Raw genomic sequence first — 17510 nt, forward strand, 5'->3', positions numbered from 1 at the left:
TATTATGGAATAACTTTGGACTAAGCTACAGAGGTAGCACAGAGTTCCCACATACCTCTCACCCAGTTCCCCCTAACGTTATCTCACATTACAGTGGTACATTTATCAAAGCTGAAAAATTTATATTGGAACACTATTATTAACTAAACTCCACACTTTATTGGTATTTCATTAGTTTTTTTTTCCACAATGCCCTTTTCTCTGTTCCAAGACCCAATCTAGGATACCACGTTTGCATTTAGGATATTTTTAATATAATAACACGTCTAACTTTATTGGGCACTTCTATATGCTAGGCATTGTTCTAAGTGCATATACATACACACAAACACATACACATACACACACAAACACACACATCTCAACTAATTGAATCATCACAACAATCCTATGAGGTAAGCATTATTCCCATCAGATCCTGAAACTGAGGTTTAAGAGGGTAAGTAACTTGCTAAACATTACACATCTAGTACAACCAGAAGTGAAACCAGCTGTGGCTGACTATAGACTGTTTCCTCCAAATCACTAATCAATATTGTCTCTCAGGAATTTAAACTACCAAGAAAGTCTTGGCAAAAGAAATGTGAATTGCAGCTTTTCATGATAGCTTCTCCCCTAAGATTTCGCCTGGATCTTCCAACAATAAGTAATTCCACAAAAATGGGCTGAGCACCTACTCTGACAAGGCCTGGGAAGATCACAGTGAACGTGGCAAAGTGGTGAAAGCTCAAGGAGCTTCCAGTTCAGTTTGGTGGAGAAACAAGAAAAAAGTCCATTTCAAGACAGAGTGGTAAGTGAAGGGCCGGCACAGTATTCTAAGGGGACCCAAAGGAAGGGCGCCTCAACCAGGAGGCAGTAGGGCATCCTGGAGGGCTTCTCAGAGGAAGAGGCATCTACACTGAGGCTTGAAAGTTGAGTTGAGATTCACCAGACAAAGTGGTAAAGTGGATGTGGGTGACAAAAAGACATCCTAAGCAACAAGAACTGCATCTACAAAGGCCTGGAAGTGAGGAAGAGCCTGGCATGCCATTATAACTGGAATATAGAGTATAAGGGAAGGAAGAAAAGAGAAATAATGTTAGAGAGAGAAGCAAGGCCAGATCCTGAAGGGCCTTTTATATCCCTGTGTTGGTCAGGATTATGATAGGCTATGCTACAATAACAAATTAACCCCAAAGTTTCATTGGCTTACCACAACAAAGACTAATTTGTCACTCATGTAGAGTCCCATGTGGGTAGGGAGCCCTCCCACCCTGTAGCTCCAGCACCTAGAACATGGCCTCAGAGGTCCACTCCAGAAGAGAAAAGAGAGGCCATAGGCACACAGCTTGTAACTACTGGGCCTGGAAATGACACGTGTCACTTCAACTCACATTTCACATGGTCCCAACCTTACTGAAGAGAAACATAGTCTGTGTGCCAAAAATGCTGTGGAAAACAAGGAATTGTCTCTGCCCCACCAGGATAAGATATGGGACTTGCTCATGAAGTACACTCAAGAGTTGTAAGCATGAGAACCACCAAGTCTAGTTAATTTGTATTTGAGAAAACTCACTCTGGCTGTAAGGTGAAGAAGAGACCAGAGGGAGGCATGACGGAAAATGGGGAGACTAGCAGTATTGCAGTATTCTAGCAGGGGGTGCGGGTGATAGACCAAAGGCAGTGGCTGTGGGAACAAACAGAACTGGATGAATTTGTGAGGTTATGTCAGAGGTAGAGTTGGCAGAATTTCATGAGTAACTGGATTTGGGATGTTGGGGAAGAATTAATGGAGGGAGGATTCAGAGAAAGAAGAAGGAGTTAAGGAGAGGGCCCAAATTTCTGATTTGGACAGCCAGGTGGCTGGCAGCATCAGTCACCAAGGAGGAGAAAACCACCACATGGCATACTGGATGCAAAAATGTGCTGGGCAATAAAATATGGGGAAGGGATATGGGGAGGATGGAGGGTTATATCCTCATTGTCTCAGTGGAAAGTCGGTAGCTGGTGCCTAACACTGAAAAATCAAATGGGAGCAATAAAGGCATAATTTTTAGACATATCAAAAGAAATCAGCAAAAAGAGTTCCAGGTGCTTGCCTCTGGAGAGGAAAAAACACTGGGACAAAAAATGGAAGACTGCTATTTAATTTAAAAAAATTTGTACAACTGCTACTCTTTAAACTATGTGCATACATATCTGATAAAAATGAATTTTTTTAAAGGAAAGACCAGCTGGTCTAGGATGTTGCTCCTTTCCTCTGAGAGGTGTCTTTTGTCTTTAACCACCTTAAATGGTGAGATGTCCATTGTGATTACAAAGGGTAGGGTACTAGTCAGTGGGACACTCATACCACCTGCCACATTTCCCCATTTGCAATAGGCCCCTGCACTTAATTCTCAGAAAAATCAAGGAGGGCTTTTTAGGGGAGATTATGCTTGACCTACATCTTGAAAAATCATAGAATTTCACACAGGAAGGAGCATTTCAAATGGATGGTAAGGGTTAGAGCATGGAGGTATGGCAAACAGATGTGTTAGGGGAAAAGCTGTAGTTGTGTTTGGAGCCTGGAAGACAAATGAAGGTGACTAGAAAATGGAGATGGAAGACCAATCAGGGAGCTCACGAAAGTGGTAAATGTTTCTCCAAAGAAGGCTCATGGACCCACATCAAGATCCTGACGATCTCTCAGTCCTTCAGATGCTCAGGAAGGATAGGCAGTATCCCGCATTTTAGTAAGTTCGCTAGGTGAATTTCATACACACCAAAATTTGAGAAACACAAGTCAAGCAAGAGGATAAAGTCCTGAAATAAGGTCATGGCAGTGCGAATGGGAGGAGGAAATGGTTATCAGACCCAGGGTCTCTTGGGTCCAGAGCTAGCCTTGGCCAACAAGTCAGGTAAAGTGGCTTTTCTGCCTGCAAAGAAATGCAGATCGTGGGGAAGCAGCAATGCCCTGCAGCTCCTGCTTACCTTTGACTTTCATTCCTGCCTCAGTGCAAGTCCTCCCACTAAATATGATATAGGGATTTCGAGTCTCAGCTTTTCCACTCTATATGTACTCTGAAAAAAATCACTTTATTGCTTGAGTCTCAGTTTCCCCAACTGTAAAATGAAGTGGTTAGACTAGATTACCTCAAAGGCCACCTCTAAATCTAAGCTTCTAAAAACAACTCCGGATAATATCCAGAACATACAAGGAGCTCCTACAAATCAAAAAGAAAAGCATGAAACTCCAATAGAAAAAACTGGCTAAGAATATGAACAGGCAATGGATAGGAGATGAAAAAAAAACTAGCAAGCATATGCTGATGCTCATCAGTAATCAGAGAATGCAGATGAAAACAATAGATGTCACTGTGTCTCTATTAGATTTGCAAAGCTTTGAAATCTGGATGTTGCATTTTGGCAAGGATATTGGGCTGCAGGAACCCTCATGCCTTGCTGAAGGGACTCTAAATGGGCACAGCCAGCCTAGAGAGTCATCTGGCACTAATAAATTAAATTCAGTGGGACCTGGGACCCAGCAAATCCACTTGTTCCTGGGTGTTTCTCCACAGAAATGATCATACAAGTCCACAAGGGAACACATATGAAGACATCCATGGCAGTATTATTTGTAATGGCAGGGGTGTGGAAGACTGACTAGGGAAAATTTGTGGATTACTATAGGACAGTTACAAATAAATAACTAGGGGCAGGCTGTGGTGGCTCACGCCTGTAATCCCAGCACTTTGGGAGGCCGAGGTGGGAGGATCATGAGGTCAGGAAATCAAGACCAACCTGGCTAACATGGTGAAACCCCATCTCTACTAAAAAATACAAAAAAAAAAATCGCCAGGCATGGTGGCGGGCACCTGTAGTCCCAGTTACTTGGGAGGCTGAGGCAGGAGAATGGCGTGAACCCAGGAGGTGGAGTTTGCAGTGAGCCTAGATCATGCCACTGCACTCCAGCCTGAGCGACAGAGTGAGACTCCGTCTCAAAAAAAAAAAAAAAAAGGAAAAAAAAAAGAAAAAAGAAGAGAGAAATAAATAACTAGGTATACATCTAGCAACAAGATGAATACAGCTGAGTAGGGAAAAAAGAATAAATATAATGAGAACACTCTATAACACTCAGCATCCTGAAATGGCTCCCTATTTCCTTCACAATAAGAGCCAAAGTCTTCACAATCTCCCACCAGGCCCTAAATGATGTGCCTCCACCCCTACCCCCACCACCTCTTTACCTCACTGATGTCATCTTCTATCACTACCCCATTGCTTACCCTGCCCAGCCTCACTGGCCACCCTGCTGCCATGAAATGATATGGGGCATTGATGCTGCCACAGAGCCTTTGCACTGGCTCTTCCCTCTTCCTGGGCTTGTAACCCTTCAAAGTACCCTACACATGCATTCACACTCCTTTTCCCTTACCCTGCTCAATTTTTAACTTAGACAATAATCAATTATAATAACTAAATTGTATCCTAGTCTAAAAGGCAATAAGTACTGTCTTCTCATCCCCACCTTCACCTCTAGAATATAAGCTCCCTGAGAATGGGCATTTTTGCTTATTTTGTTCACTGATGTCTCCCAAGAATGAGAGCAAAACCTGTCCCAAAAAAGGCACTATTTTAAATACACTTTTAAACACATTATATGAATGCACATGCAGAAAATGATGAGTGGGAATTGGCGATAAAGGGGATTAAACAAAATAAGAGAGGAGCCTAGTCTGGATCAAGGATGATAACACACCATTAAGGGAGGATTCTGAGTAATTCAACCTTCTATACCTGAGGTTAACAAAAGGGGAGGAGGGAAGCAGTGTCTGGTCACCTCCCCTGAGCCCATCTGTTGAAGTTTCTCCTTTTGCCGGGTCTTTGCCAAGCCCATCTACACAGCAGCTGTTTCTGAGATTGCAAGGTCGTTACTGGGCTGAGGATACCTCACAAGCAACCCTTCCATGTACAACCCCACCCACCTCCCTACATTTCCTCAACACCGGCCCACCTGAGGAAGAAAGGACTGGGCTCCACATAGAACACTACCTAATAATTTTAGAATGATTTCTAACTCACAAATCACTCCACAACTTTGAAAGATACTACTGTCCTCATTGTATGGGTTAAAAAAACTAATGCTTAGAAAGATTCACAGTTGTCCTGTTTCACTGGCTAGTCCCCAGCACAACTGAGATGTTCAGCAACCCAGGTCTTCCTGACACCACGTTTCACGTTTTCTCTACCAACTTACTCTCCCACTAGGTACAGATAAAAAGACTTCCATGTTAGGGAAATTAGCAAAATACATTTTTCCAAATCTTATTTTGCATGACCCTGTTCTCAGCTCTCCTGTTTCTAAGTAACTGCTCTCCATCTCTAGGCTAGGATGCAAATTCAAAACCTGTGGATTTGACACAGTCTGTCTAAAAGCTAATGTTAGAAAATAAGGCCAAACAAATCATCTATTACTATTAAGACTTTAAAAGGATTATCCGCTCTTTGCAAGGAGCCAGATGGTGAAGACTGCACACTGTCAATCAGCTCTGGCAATAATAGTTCTGATACTACTGAGGAGTACAGAGGAACCACTAAGAATGTGGGGAATTCTCAACACAACACTCCGTGTTTGACAAGAATCAGATGATGAAAGGGTTAGGGCTGGTTGATGTTTTAAGCAGGCCGACTATTTAGGCCAAGAGATTAACATTTAAGAACAACAGCCAGGCGCGGTGGCTCACGCCTGTAATCCCAGCACTTTGAGAGGCCGAGGCGGGCGGATCACCTGAGGTCAGGAGTTCGAGACCAGCCCGACCAACATGGTGAAACCCCGTGTCTACTAAAATTACAAAATTAGCCAGGTGTGGTGGCGCATGCCTATAATCCCAGCTACTCGGGAGGCTGAGGCAGAAGAATCACTTGAACACAGGAGGCAGAGATTGCAGTGAGCCGAGATTGCGCCACTGCACTCCAGCCTAGGCAACAAGAGCAAAACTCCATCTCAAAAAAAAAAAAAAGAAAAAAAGAACAACAGACTCAGGTACATAACTTAGAGTTTACTTGCATGCCACTCCTCGCACTCATTTAAGTGACTCTGGGCTCATTCTCATTCAGCAAAATGGATCAGGACTGGCGCATACTCATGGCTTCTAGTTCTTCTTTACCTGCACTTAACTTGGCATGATGCAGTACACATGGTAGGGGCTCCATAAAGCTCTTTGAATTACAGGCTCACTGAAACTCATACTGCAACAACTTACACTGAAGCGCTGAAACCTCTCAAGTCTCCTACTAAGAAAGCTTCTCAGGGATTACCAGTTTCCAGTGAAAATCTCCTTAGGCTGATCTAGCCTTAACTCCTCACCCTGCCCAATAAACAAGTAAAAAGAAATATAATATAATGATAAGTATTATTGACATGGTTAGACATTTCCTAGTGAGTGACATGAGCCTTGAACACATTATAATCTCTGTTATTCTCCTTTTCCCTCAAATTAAAATGGGGATTAAACTCGCCTTGTGGTTCTAAAAGTTAGAGACTCTTCATATAAAGGACTTTAATATCATTCCTAGCACAAATTAGGTGTTCAAAAAAACTGGTGGTTTGGGGGAGAGAATGAGCCACCTTAGCACCCACACACAAGAATGCTCTTTTTCAGATGGACTCATAGCACTCATGTTTCATTCTTGCTTGACACCACCAGCTGCATAATCATAAGCAAACAATTTTATCTCTCTAGCCTTCAATTTCTTTGTTAGTAAAAATAAAGGTTGTGGGCTAGAGCTCTGATATTCCCCCTACCTCCTTTTTTTTGTTTTTTTTGTTTTTTGTTTTTTTAATTTTAGATGGAGTTTTGCTCTTATTGCCCAGGCTAGAGTGTAATGGCATGATCTCGGGCTCACTGCAACCTCCATCTCCCGGGTTCAAGTGATTCTCCTGCCTCAGCCTCCTGAGTAGCTGGGATTACAGGCGCCTGCCACCACGCCTGGCTAATTTTTGTATTTTTAATAGAGAAGAGGTTTCACCATCTTGGCCAGACTGGTCTTGAACTTCTGACCTCATGATCCACTCGTCTCAACCTCCCAAAGTGCTGGGATTACAGGCATGAGCCACCGTGCCCAGCTGCCTCCAATTTTTTTACGCTTGTTAGTATCGGGTTTCATTTAAAAGAAGTCCTCAAGTGGGGAATCTTGGTTTCTCTAAGCCTTAGCTGGGTTTTGCAAAATTTTTTTTTGACAGAAAAAGATTTTTTAAAAATTGTTTGGAAAATGAAATGGTACCCTACTCTAAGACTTTGCACCTCAGGCAGAGGGTCATATAAGCAAATAATAACATTATAAGATGGATTCTTCACACATAAATATATGTTTAGACTTTTTTAGACCACAGAAGAGCAAAGAGTTCTCTCAGTCTGGAGAAGCTAAGGAGTGTTTCAACAAGGAGACATCTGAGCTGGGATTTCAAGGATGGAGGTCAGGAAAAAACATTGCAACTGAGGAAAGCATGTGCAAAGTCGCCAAGGTAGGTGACAGCATGACATATTCAAGGACTTGAAAGAGGAGAACATTGAAGCTACAATATAAGCAATAAGAAGAGTGGTGCAAAATAAAATGGGAGAGACAGGAAAAGGCCAAATCAGCAGGGCCATGGAAAGGGTTTTGGTCTTTATCCTAAAAGCTACTGAAAGTCATCGAAGAGTTTTAAGCCAAAAGAAGATGACCAAGTTTGAATTTAAATAAAAAGACTCTGACTAGAAAGGAAAAAGAAAGGATGTAAAAAGACAGTTAGAGGACATTGCAATAGCCAGGTGAAAGAGGATCATGGTTTGGTGGTAGCAGTAGGGATGGGAAGAAGTGGCTGATCACAGGGTCCCCAATGAGATAAAGAGAAGAGAATCTGTAAATTGATTGGATAGGAGAGTAAGGGAGAAGGAGATACTAAGAATGGATTCTAAGTGTTTGCCAAGAACAACTGGCTGGATGGCCTTGTCCTTGAGGGTACACTTACGGTGACTAGAGTTAAGTCTTACTATACTGACATTTATGTGGAAATCATAGCAGAGATGTCGAGCAGGCAGTAAGTTATATGGGTCTGGGACTCTGAGGCTTCTGTGCTGAGAATGTGGAAGTAAGAATCAACAGAGAGTACTTAACTGAAGCCATGCTTATGTATAAGATCACCTGTAGAAGAGCATAGAAGAAGAAGAAAAAGGAGCCTATGAAAGCTTTGAGAATGCCAGCAGCACAGAAGGATGAATCACAAGTGGCTGAGAATAAGAGGGTGGAAGAGAAACAGGAAACCTTTTCTCAGATATTGACAAATTATCTTTCATCAGCTCTGCTTTAAGTAAGAAAAACTGAATAAGGACACAAACTTCCATAGCCAAAGGGAAAGATAGAAACGAAAAGGCTCGAATATTGCATGTATGCAATGATCAATACTTGTATTACCAAGAATTCCCTCTATTAAAATTCTTCCTTGCTACAGATTACACTATTCATTTACAAAGCTCCTACCATGTTTCCCTTTAGATGAAGTACACTTACCTACCAAGTGACTCTGAGCTTGACCATATGATCATGAATGTGAGCAAATGTGATACACACCATGGCCAAGCAGAGACTTTAAATACACTTACATGGATTGGCTCCAGCCCTCTTGGGTTTCTGCCCTCCACCATAAGAACAACAGGTTCCTTCAACCAGGGTCCTGCAATGAAAAGATACAAAGAGCAGAACCCAACATAAGCAATACATAAATGAATGTGATTTTTTTTTTTATTTTATAGAGTTGAGGTCTCATTCTGCTGCCCAGGCTGGAAAGCAGTAACCCAGTCATGGTTCACTGCAGACTTGAACTCGTGGGGTCAAGTGATCCTCTTGCCTCAGCGAGAGGGACTGGGACTATAGGTGTGTGCCACCATGCCCAGCTATTTTTTCTTAATTTTTGTAGAGATAGGGGTCTCACTGTGTTGCCTAGGCTGGTCTCAAAATCCTGGCTTCAAGCAATTCTCCCACCTTGGCCTCCCAAAATGCTGGGATTATAGGCATGAGCCACTACACCACACCTGGCCTGAATGTGACTTTTAGCAGCTGAGCTTTGGGGGCTGTTTGTTACTGCAGCAAATGCTGACTAATATACTTGTCCACAGTGAGATATCTTTGACACCAAATCTACTTATTTTAAACTCCAGTCCAAAGAAGAAATAGCACTATTTGTCTAGATTGTATTATATACCTGGCACTAATAAGTGATTTATAGACATCATCTCATCTTAATCCTCATGACAATTATTTTCACCATTTTACATGAACAAATAGGCTCAGATAAGTTAAATACATTTCTCAGGATCACAAAGCTAGCAAATAAATAATGGAAATGGAACAAAAATTCATCTAACTGATTCCAAAGCCCATGCATTCTCTATATTGCCATATTAATGAAATGAATCTCCTAGATATCAAAACGTAAGTCTCCCACATGGGAAACAAGACATATTAATACATTGACAGTTGTGCTGCTGTTGAGCAAGCCAAGAGCAACCAGCAGGAGAATATTTACAGCTCCGGATCCGAAGCTCATATTGCCACAAGCTCCACCTTCCTCTCACAAACTATCATAGCTGAGAAAATGGGAGCCTTATAGCTTGAAATTTGGTGAAATGTGGTGCTCAAGTCAGGTCGCACTGAAACATTGGAAACAAAGGTTACATTTTTATCTCAATCTCTATAGCCAGGTGACTTTTTGTAATAGCTCACTGTGATCACCCCTTATGAATTCAGCTTGGGTTTCCCACCTGATCCTTGGTAATAGGAGTCATAACTACCTTTCTGAATCTTGAGGCAAAGTTAAACCTTTAACATATTAAGGAACAAGGAGAAGCAAGATATAGTAATCACTTACCAGTGTCCATTTGTCCATTGAGGAGTTACATGTCCTGCTTGGAATTTAGGGCTGCCTTGCAGATCCCCTTATGAGACATTGTGGGGTCAGTGGGTGTGAGGAGAAATAGTGAAAAAGCATAAGCTTTGAAGTCAAACAAATCTGGGTTTAAATCCTGCTCTGCCTCTTACCCACTTTGTGGTCCTAGGAACTTGGCTTTATTTCTCTGATCATCAGTTTTCTTGGTGTAAAATTCGGGTGATAGTAGCTAATCCAATTAGCTGTTTGAAGATAAAATGAACTGGAATATTCACTTCTTCTCTACTGTGAATCATCAGCTTCTGTCTTGGGCTGCAAGGAGACTCTGTGGCCAGGACTAGGGCCCTAAGATCTCCTCTCAAGTTCCTCCCCTCCCCTTTAATGGCATGCACAATGCTGTATAATCATCATCACAGGCACCAACAAGGTCAGGCAGCAAATCGTGAACACCCACTCTATACCAACATTTTTCTAACTCTAGTGCTTACAACATTGAAGCAAAACAAATTGTATTACATTCATTTTAGAGGTCAGCAAACTGAGAGGTTAAGTGGCTTGCCACAGCTCAGACCCGGTCCTCCTGACCCCCAGGCCCACGCCTTTCCCACTTGGCACACTGCCTCCTGCTCTTAGCTGCTCAGCTGGTTATCTCTGTCCATTGCTTTCAATGAGACCTCTGAGAAAAAAACAAGTGTCCCTGGCAGGACCACACAAACTCACAAGAAGGTATTGATTATAAGAATTGTACACCAAAAATTAAGTCATTGCTCAGAAAAATTAAAGGAAACCTATATTAAGGGAGAAACATTTCATTCATATACTGGAAGCTCAGTATTGTTAAGGTACCAATAATTCCCCCCAAATTGATCTATAATATTATCCCAGCAGGTTTTTTTTTTTTTTGCAGAAATTGAAAAGTTGATTCTAATACTTACATGGAAATACAAAGGACTCAGAGTAGCCAAAACAATTTGGAAATAAAAAGAAAGTTGGAAGACTTATAATTAATTGCAAAATGTATCATAAAGCTACAGTAATCAACACAGTGTAGTACTGACTATAAAGATAAACATATAAATCACTGGAACAAAATTGAGAGTCCAGAAATAATCCCTTATATTTATGGTGAATTGATTTTCAACAAAGGCACCAAGACAATTCAAAGGGGAAAGGATAATCTTTGCAAAAAATAGTGTTGGAACAAATGGATATCTACACACAAAAAGATTAATGTACACCCCTGCTCACATCATACAGAAAAAATAACTCAAAATTAATCACACGCTTAAATGTAAGAGCTAAAGCTATAAAAGTATTAGAAGAAAATCTAAAATCTCCTAAAATCTAGAAGAAAGTCTTCTTGATCTTGGGTAGGCAAATATTTCTTAAATAGAACACTAAAAGTATGACTCAAAAAGGAAAAAAAAATCACATGTGGACTTCATCAAACTTAATCACTTCGAGCTTCAAAAGAAACCATTAAGAAAGTGAAAGAACAAGCCACTGAGAAAATATTTGCAAATCATATATCTAAAAATGTACTTATTCAGAATTTGTAAAGAACTCTTACAACTAAATAATAAGACAAGAAACCAATCTGAAAATGAATAAAAGAGTTGAAGAGATATTTAGACAGAGGAGATATATAAATGACAAATAATCCCATGAAAAAATGCCAACAGTATTCATTATTAAGGAAATGTAAATTAAAACCATAAGATACCACTGTACACCCAATAGAATCAGAAAGACAGACAATAACGAGAGTGGTGAGGATGTAGAGAAGTTGGAAACTTCATGCATTATGGTGAGAATACAAAATGCTATAGCCACTTTGGGAAACAATTTGGCTGTTTCTGAAATATAAATTTACCATACAACCCAGTGAGTTCACCCCTAGCTATTTATCCAAGAGAAATGACAGCATACCTCCACACAAAAATTTGTACAAAATGTTCATAGCAGCATTATTTACAATAGCCAAAAAGTAGAAATAATCCAAATGCCCACTAACTGTTGAATAAATAAATAAAATGTGACATAGCCACACAATGAACAATTCAGGAAAAAAAAATACTGATACATGATACAACATGAATGGGCCTCAGGAATATTAAAGAAGCCAGGCACAAAGTACTACATATTGTGTGATTTCATTTATATGAAACATCCAATAAAGACACAACTATAGTAACAGAATGCAGATTCCTGGTTGCCTGGATGTGGGGCTGGAAGCAGGAACTAACTGCAAATAGGTACAAGGGATTTCTGAGGGATGATGGAGATATTCTAAAACTGGATTGTGCTAATGGTTGCACAGCTCTGCAAATTTATGAAACCTCATTGAATTGTTCACTTAAAACAGATGAAGTTTATGGTATGCAAATGATACCTCAATAAATCTGTTTTTTAAAAGGTCTTAATGATTCCTTTGCAAAATATCAGAAACACGGCAAAGGAGGCAGCCTGATAAATCTCCTCTCCAGCCTTTCTCCTTTGTGTCCTCTGGGAAGGGCACCTGAGTTCCTACCTCTCCACACTAAGAACTGTCTCCCCAAGCAGCCTACAGCAGCTGTACTGGACTTCTCTGCCTAGAGACTTAGCGGCCCCAATTCAGGCTTCTGGCAGCAAAGCTCACCTTGCAGAAATACTATAAGAGTTATAAATACTTTAGGTCCTTAGAGAGCTCAGTCAGTTCTCTGCTATGCCACTAGTGACCTAGGGCAAGGAAACTTCTATTCGTAGGTATACTGAGTGTCAGTGAGCAAGGCTGCAAGGCATTCTGGCATCATAACCTCTTTAATGGCATGGTTTGGACCCTTAAGAAAACCATGCTTTATTAAAAGCTAATTCCTACAAGCTAATTGCAGCCATCACCCCAGAAAAACAGACTGGATGCAGATAATTCAAAGTCCATTCATCAGGCATAGGGGTTGGGGAACCTGACTTCAGAACAGGGAAAGGTTCTTAACCTCAGCCGCATAATTAAACTACCTGGTAAGCCTTTTAAAAAATACTATATCAGGTATAGTATTTTCTATAAGTCTTAATCACCACAGAGATATGGATTTAACTGGCCCATATGGCTTAATATCTGTGTTGTTTTTAAGCTCCTCAGGCAATTCTCCTGCTCATCCAGGGCTGCAAATCACCAGCTTTAGGAGACAGGTTTCTTCCACCTATTCTCTACCAGTGACTCACTCAAAGCCCAAAATGCACTACTCCTTAAAAAAGGACTTTCTTCCTCATCTAGTAAAAGCAACAGGATAAAGATGGCTGAATGTCAGACAACAGGATGTTGTCATTTGCAGTGTAGACACTGCCAATTTATCTCAATTTATCCCAAATGAGTTTATGTTGAGTGTATTGATTTATATGTCCTTAATCATGACACCCGTAAGAAGGGTGTCTAACATAACTGATAGTGGAGAGGCTAAAAGAAAAAATAAGTCTATTTTCAGTATTCAAGGACTTTTCTCCACAATAGGGAGGAAGAATAAAATTAATTAGCATCCAGTACAGTAGTAACACATTAAATATTAAAGGAAATAAGCAAGCATGAATCTCAGACATCAGCAATCATGAGAATTTGGGACAGAGTTCTCCACTGGCTTCAGTGGACAGTAAAAGCTTTGTGGATGGGGCACAGTTCTATCTGGGCCTTGTAGGACCAATAGAATGTGAATTGGGAAAGTGAAGGAACAAAAAAAATCACCCAATAACAATAATTGCAATAGCCATTTACTGTACTCCAGGTATTCTCTCATTTCGAGCATCCTTTTCTTTAAACCTTGTAACCACCTTATGATCCTCATTTTACAGATGAGAAAATGGGAGATTAGAGCGCTTTAAAAAATTGCCGTGGTGGCTCGTGCCTGTATTCCCAGCTACTTGGGAGGCTGAGGCAGGAGAATCGCTTGAACCAGGGAGTCAGAGGTTGCAGTGAGCCAAGATCGTGCCACTGCACTCTAGCCTGGGTGACAGAGTGAGACAAAAAAAAAAAAAAAAACATTGCCCAAGTTCAGAGTCAGCAAGCAGAATTCAAACCCATGTAATCTGACTTCAGAATTCAGGTAGATAGGCCAAGGCAGAAAGGCAGAAAGGCAGAAACACAGACAGGAATCTCCCATTTGCGTGATGTTGTGCAAGATTCCAGCCTGCTAAGAAGGTTGGGTTCTTGTCACTAAAAGCCCAGAAGAGAAGAGAAAACTGCCTAACTAGGACAAGGTCAGATCATCCACACAGCTCTACCTAGATATTAAGCCAACTGCAACAAGGAGAGCTGAATCAAAAGTCAACCAAAAAGGGATATCCTTTTTTAGAAACACAAGATGATAAAAGCATCAAATAGGTGAGCATGACTAGGGAAGCACAGGTCTGCAGGTTCCCAAGGGGTGAAGTTTCACCAGAGGCTGTGAAAACGCTGAGAGCTGAGACTGGAAAAGAGTCACTAGGCCTGAGTCTATGTTCCACCCATCAAGGACTCTCCAGGATGGTGTGAAGGGCAGAAGAGCTAGAAAAGACAGAGGCTGTGTGGAGGACATTCACAGGAAGTCCACAGGACAGCACAGAATGTTGAGGCAAGCAGCTAAGCCTGCCTGCCTTGGATGAATTACATTTTTCAAAATGCCTAGTTGAAAAGTAGTCAAAAGGTACTAGGCACCCAGTGTACCCGGGAGCATGACCATGGAAGCATCTGTGAAAGGCACACAAAATACGTGAATTCTGCCTGCAAGGAATGCATACTCTTGTTGGAGAGACAGGGAACACACACACAGAAAGAGAGAATGAATAGTAGTTTGAGTGATTTCCTCAAGTCATTGGAACCAACTGACAGAAGCCTTGATTATTTTGGCTTTTCCCAATCCTGCAATCTGAGAATAAGCAAAACACCAAGAAAGAAATAAAGGCAAAAAGAAGGAAGGGAGAAAGAGAGGAAAGGAGGAAGGGAAGGAGGGAGAGAATGGAAGGCAGGAGAGAAGAAAGGGAGGGAGGGAGGGAGAGACAACCAAATTCATATAAGAAATTCATTAAGAGCGATGTTAAGTGTGAACCATGTACCATCTGCATCAGAGTCACCCTAGGTGCGTCATAACAAGACAGACCCTCTGAAGCAGGGTTTGGGAATCTGAACTGTGAGCAGTCCCTCAGAGGATGCTTAGGCACTCTGAAGTCAGAGGCCCACTAGTCTGGACACTGCCTAAGGCCAGTCCATGTGCTCAGACCTCTGCATCTGCTGCTACATCTCCAGCTACCAAACTACCTAATAATCTCACATACAGAAGACTGGTCCTAAGGTGAGACAAAGTCCCAAGTCATCAGATAAAGAGGAACTTATGTTCACAATTTGTCGTGGGCTTTGGAGTGAGGCAGACTCCAATGGAAAGCCCAGTTCTCCTTCTTCCTAGCAGAGACTTTAGGGAAATTACTTAAACCCACTGAACGTCAGGGTCCTCATCTGTAAAATCCTCATAGGATGGTTGGGAGGGTGATCAGGTAGGAACCATGGCTTTCTCTAAGCTGCCTTTTATTTGCTGACTTTTGAGAGGGGACGTCTTACTCAGGCACAGTCACATGTGCCTGTAGCCCTAGCTACTTTGGAGGCCAAGGCAGGAGGATAGTTTGAGTCCAGGAGTTCAAGACTGCAGTGTGCTGTAACTGTGCCTATGAATAGCCACTGCTTAGGCAACACAGTGAAACCCCATCTCTAAAAGAAAAAAAAAAAAAGACCAGACATCTTAGAAAGATTCTTCAAATCCTAACCCTAGTTAGACATTAGACATTGAATGCCTCTCCTAGACTTGACTAATGGAGAAAAAATGCCTTTAAGTGTTTCATCTGTTTCATCTTACTCATTCCTCAGAACATTCTGCTGACATCAACAGCCTCCAGGCCTTTGCACATGCATGTCTTTCTTTATGAAATACACACACACATGCACACATGTCTCTACACCCTGCTTATTCTATAAATCCATATTCATCCTTCAACTTCTTGCTCAAGTATCACTTCTATTTTAAAATTTCCCAGACACCACAGCCTGCCCCAACTCACCCATTCTCACTGCAGTGACGGCTCCCAGAACCTGAACAAACCACAAGTCTGATCTTGCCGCACTGTGATGACTGATCTTCTGGTTTCTCCCCAACAACCATGGGTTCCCCAAAAAGCAATACTTTGTAACCCTAGCACTTGCTATCATGCCTAATGTCTAGCAAGTACGCACAATTTGTTGCGTTAATATATTCCACATGTAGCTTCTTCTCCGAGAAAACACCAAATGGCGGATGACGCCGGCGCAGCCGGCATTGGGTTGCGGGGGGAGTCCCGGAGGCCCCGGGGCCCTGGGATGGGGAACCATGGTGGCTTCCGTGGAGGTTTCGGCAGTGGCATCCGAGGCCGGGGTCACTGCCGTGGACCAGGCTGGGGCCGAAGCCACGGAGCTCGCGGAGGCAAGGCCAAGGATAAGGAGTGGATGCCCGTCAGCAAGCTGGGCTGCCTGGTCAAGCACATGAAGATCACTTCCCTGGAGGAGATCTGTCTCTTCTCCCTGCCCATCACGGAATCTGAGATCATTGATTTTTTCCTGGGGGGCCTCTCTCGAGGCCTAGGTTTTGAAGATTATGCCGGTGCAGAAGCAGACCGGAGCCGGCCAGCGAACCAGGTTCAAGGCGTTTGTGGCCATTGCGGGCTACAACGGTCACGTCGGTCTGGGTGTTAAGTGCTCCAAGGAGGTGGCCACTGCCATCCACAGGGCCATCATCCTGGCCTAGCTCTCCATTGTCCCCATGCGCAGAGGTTACTAGGGGAACAAGATCGGCAAGCCCTACACCATCCGTTGCAAGGTGACGGGCTGCTGCGGCTCCGTGCTCGTGCGCCTCATCCGCGTGCCCAGAGGCACCGGTATCGTCTCGGCGCCTGTGCCCAAGAAGTTGCTCATGATGGCTGGTATCGATGACTGCTACACCTCAGCCAGGGGCTGCACTGCCACTCTGAGCAACTTCGCCAAGGCCACCTTTGATGCCATCTCTAAGACCTACAGCTACCTGACCCCTGACCTCTGGAGGACGGCTGTATTCACCAAGTGTCCCTATCAAGAATTCACTGACCACCTCGCCAAGACCCACACCAGAGTCTCCGTGCAGAGGACCCAGGCTCCAGCTGTAGCTACAACATAGGGTTTTTATACAAGAAAAAGAAAGTTAATTAAGCCTGTAAAATATACATACATATATGTGTGTGTATATATACATATTATATATGTATATATGTGTGTGTATATACATTATATATATGTATATATGTGTGTATATATACATATATACGTATATATGTGTGTATATATACATATATACGTATATATGTGTGTATATATACATATATACGTATATGTGTCTATATACATATATACGTATATGTGTGTGTATACATATATACGTATGTATGTGTGTATACATATATACGTATGTGTGTGTATACATATATACGTATGTATGTGTGTATACATCTATACGTATGTATGTGTGTGTATACATCTATACGTATGTATGTGTGTATACATATATACGTGTATACGTATACACATATGTATATGTGTATACATATACACATATATGTGTATGTA

The 17510-nt window shown here is 42.0% G+C and overlaps 1 long non-coding RNA gene and 1 pseudogene across 1 annotated transcript in view; one reads left to right on the forward strand and one right to left on the reverse strand.

The window, feature by feature from the left end:
- The window catches only part of LRRC52-AS1 (LRRC52 antisense RNA 1), a 105314-nt gene extending 88573 nt beyond the window's left edge, over positions 1–16741 (reverse strand). Inside the window, exons 1-3 of the long non-coding RNA NR_026744.2 lie at positions 15941–16741; positions 9869–9955; positions 8604–8674 (exon numbers count right to left, since the gene is read on the reverse strand). This is a non-coding gene — a long non-coding RNA (LRRC52 antisense RNA 1). The remainder of the gene's footprint in view (positions 1–8603; positions 8675–9868; positions 9956–15940) is intronic.
- Positions 16144–17102, forward strand: RPS2P10 (ribosomal protein S2 pseudogene 10; annotated as a pseudogene).

Source organism: Homo sapiens, chromosome 1 (assembly GCF_000001405.40).
Source record: "Homo sapiens chromosome 1, GRCh38.p14 Primary Assembly".
NCBI classification, from domain to species: Eukaryota; Metazoa; Chordata; class Mammalia; order Primates; family Hominidae; genus Homo; species Homo sapiens.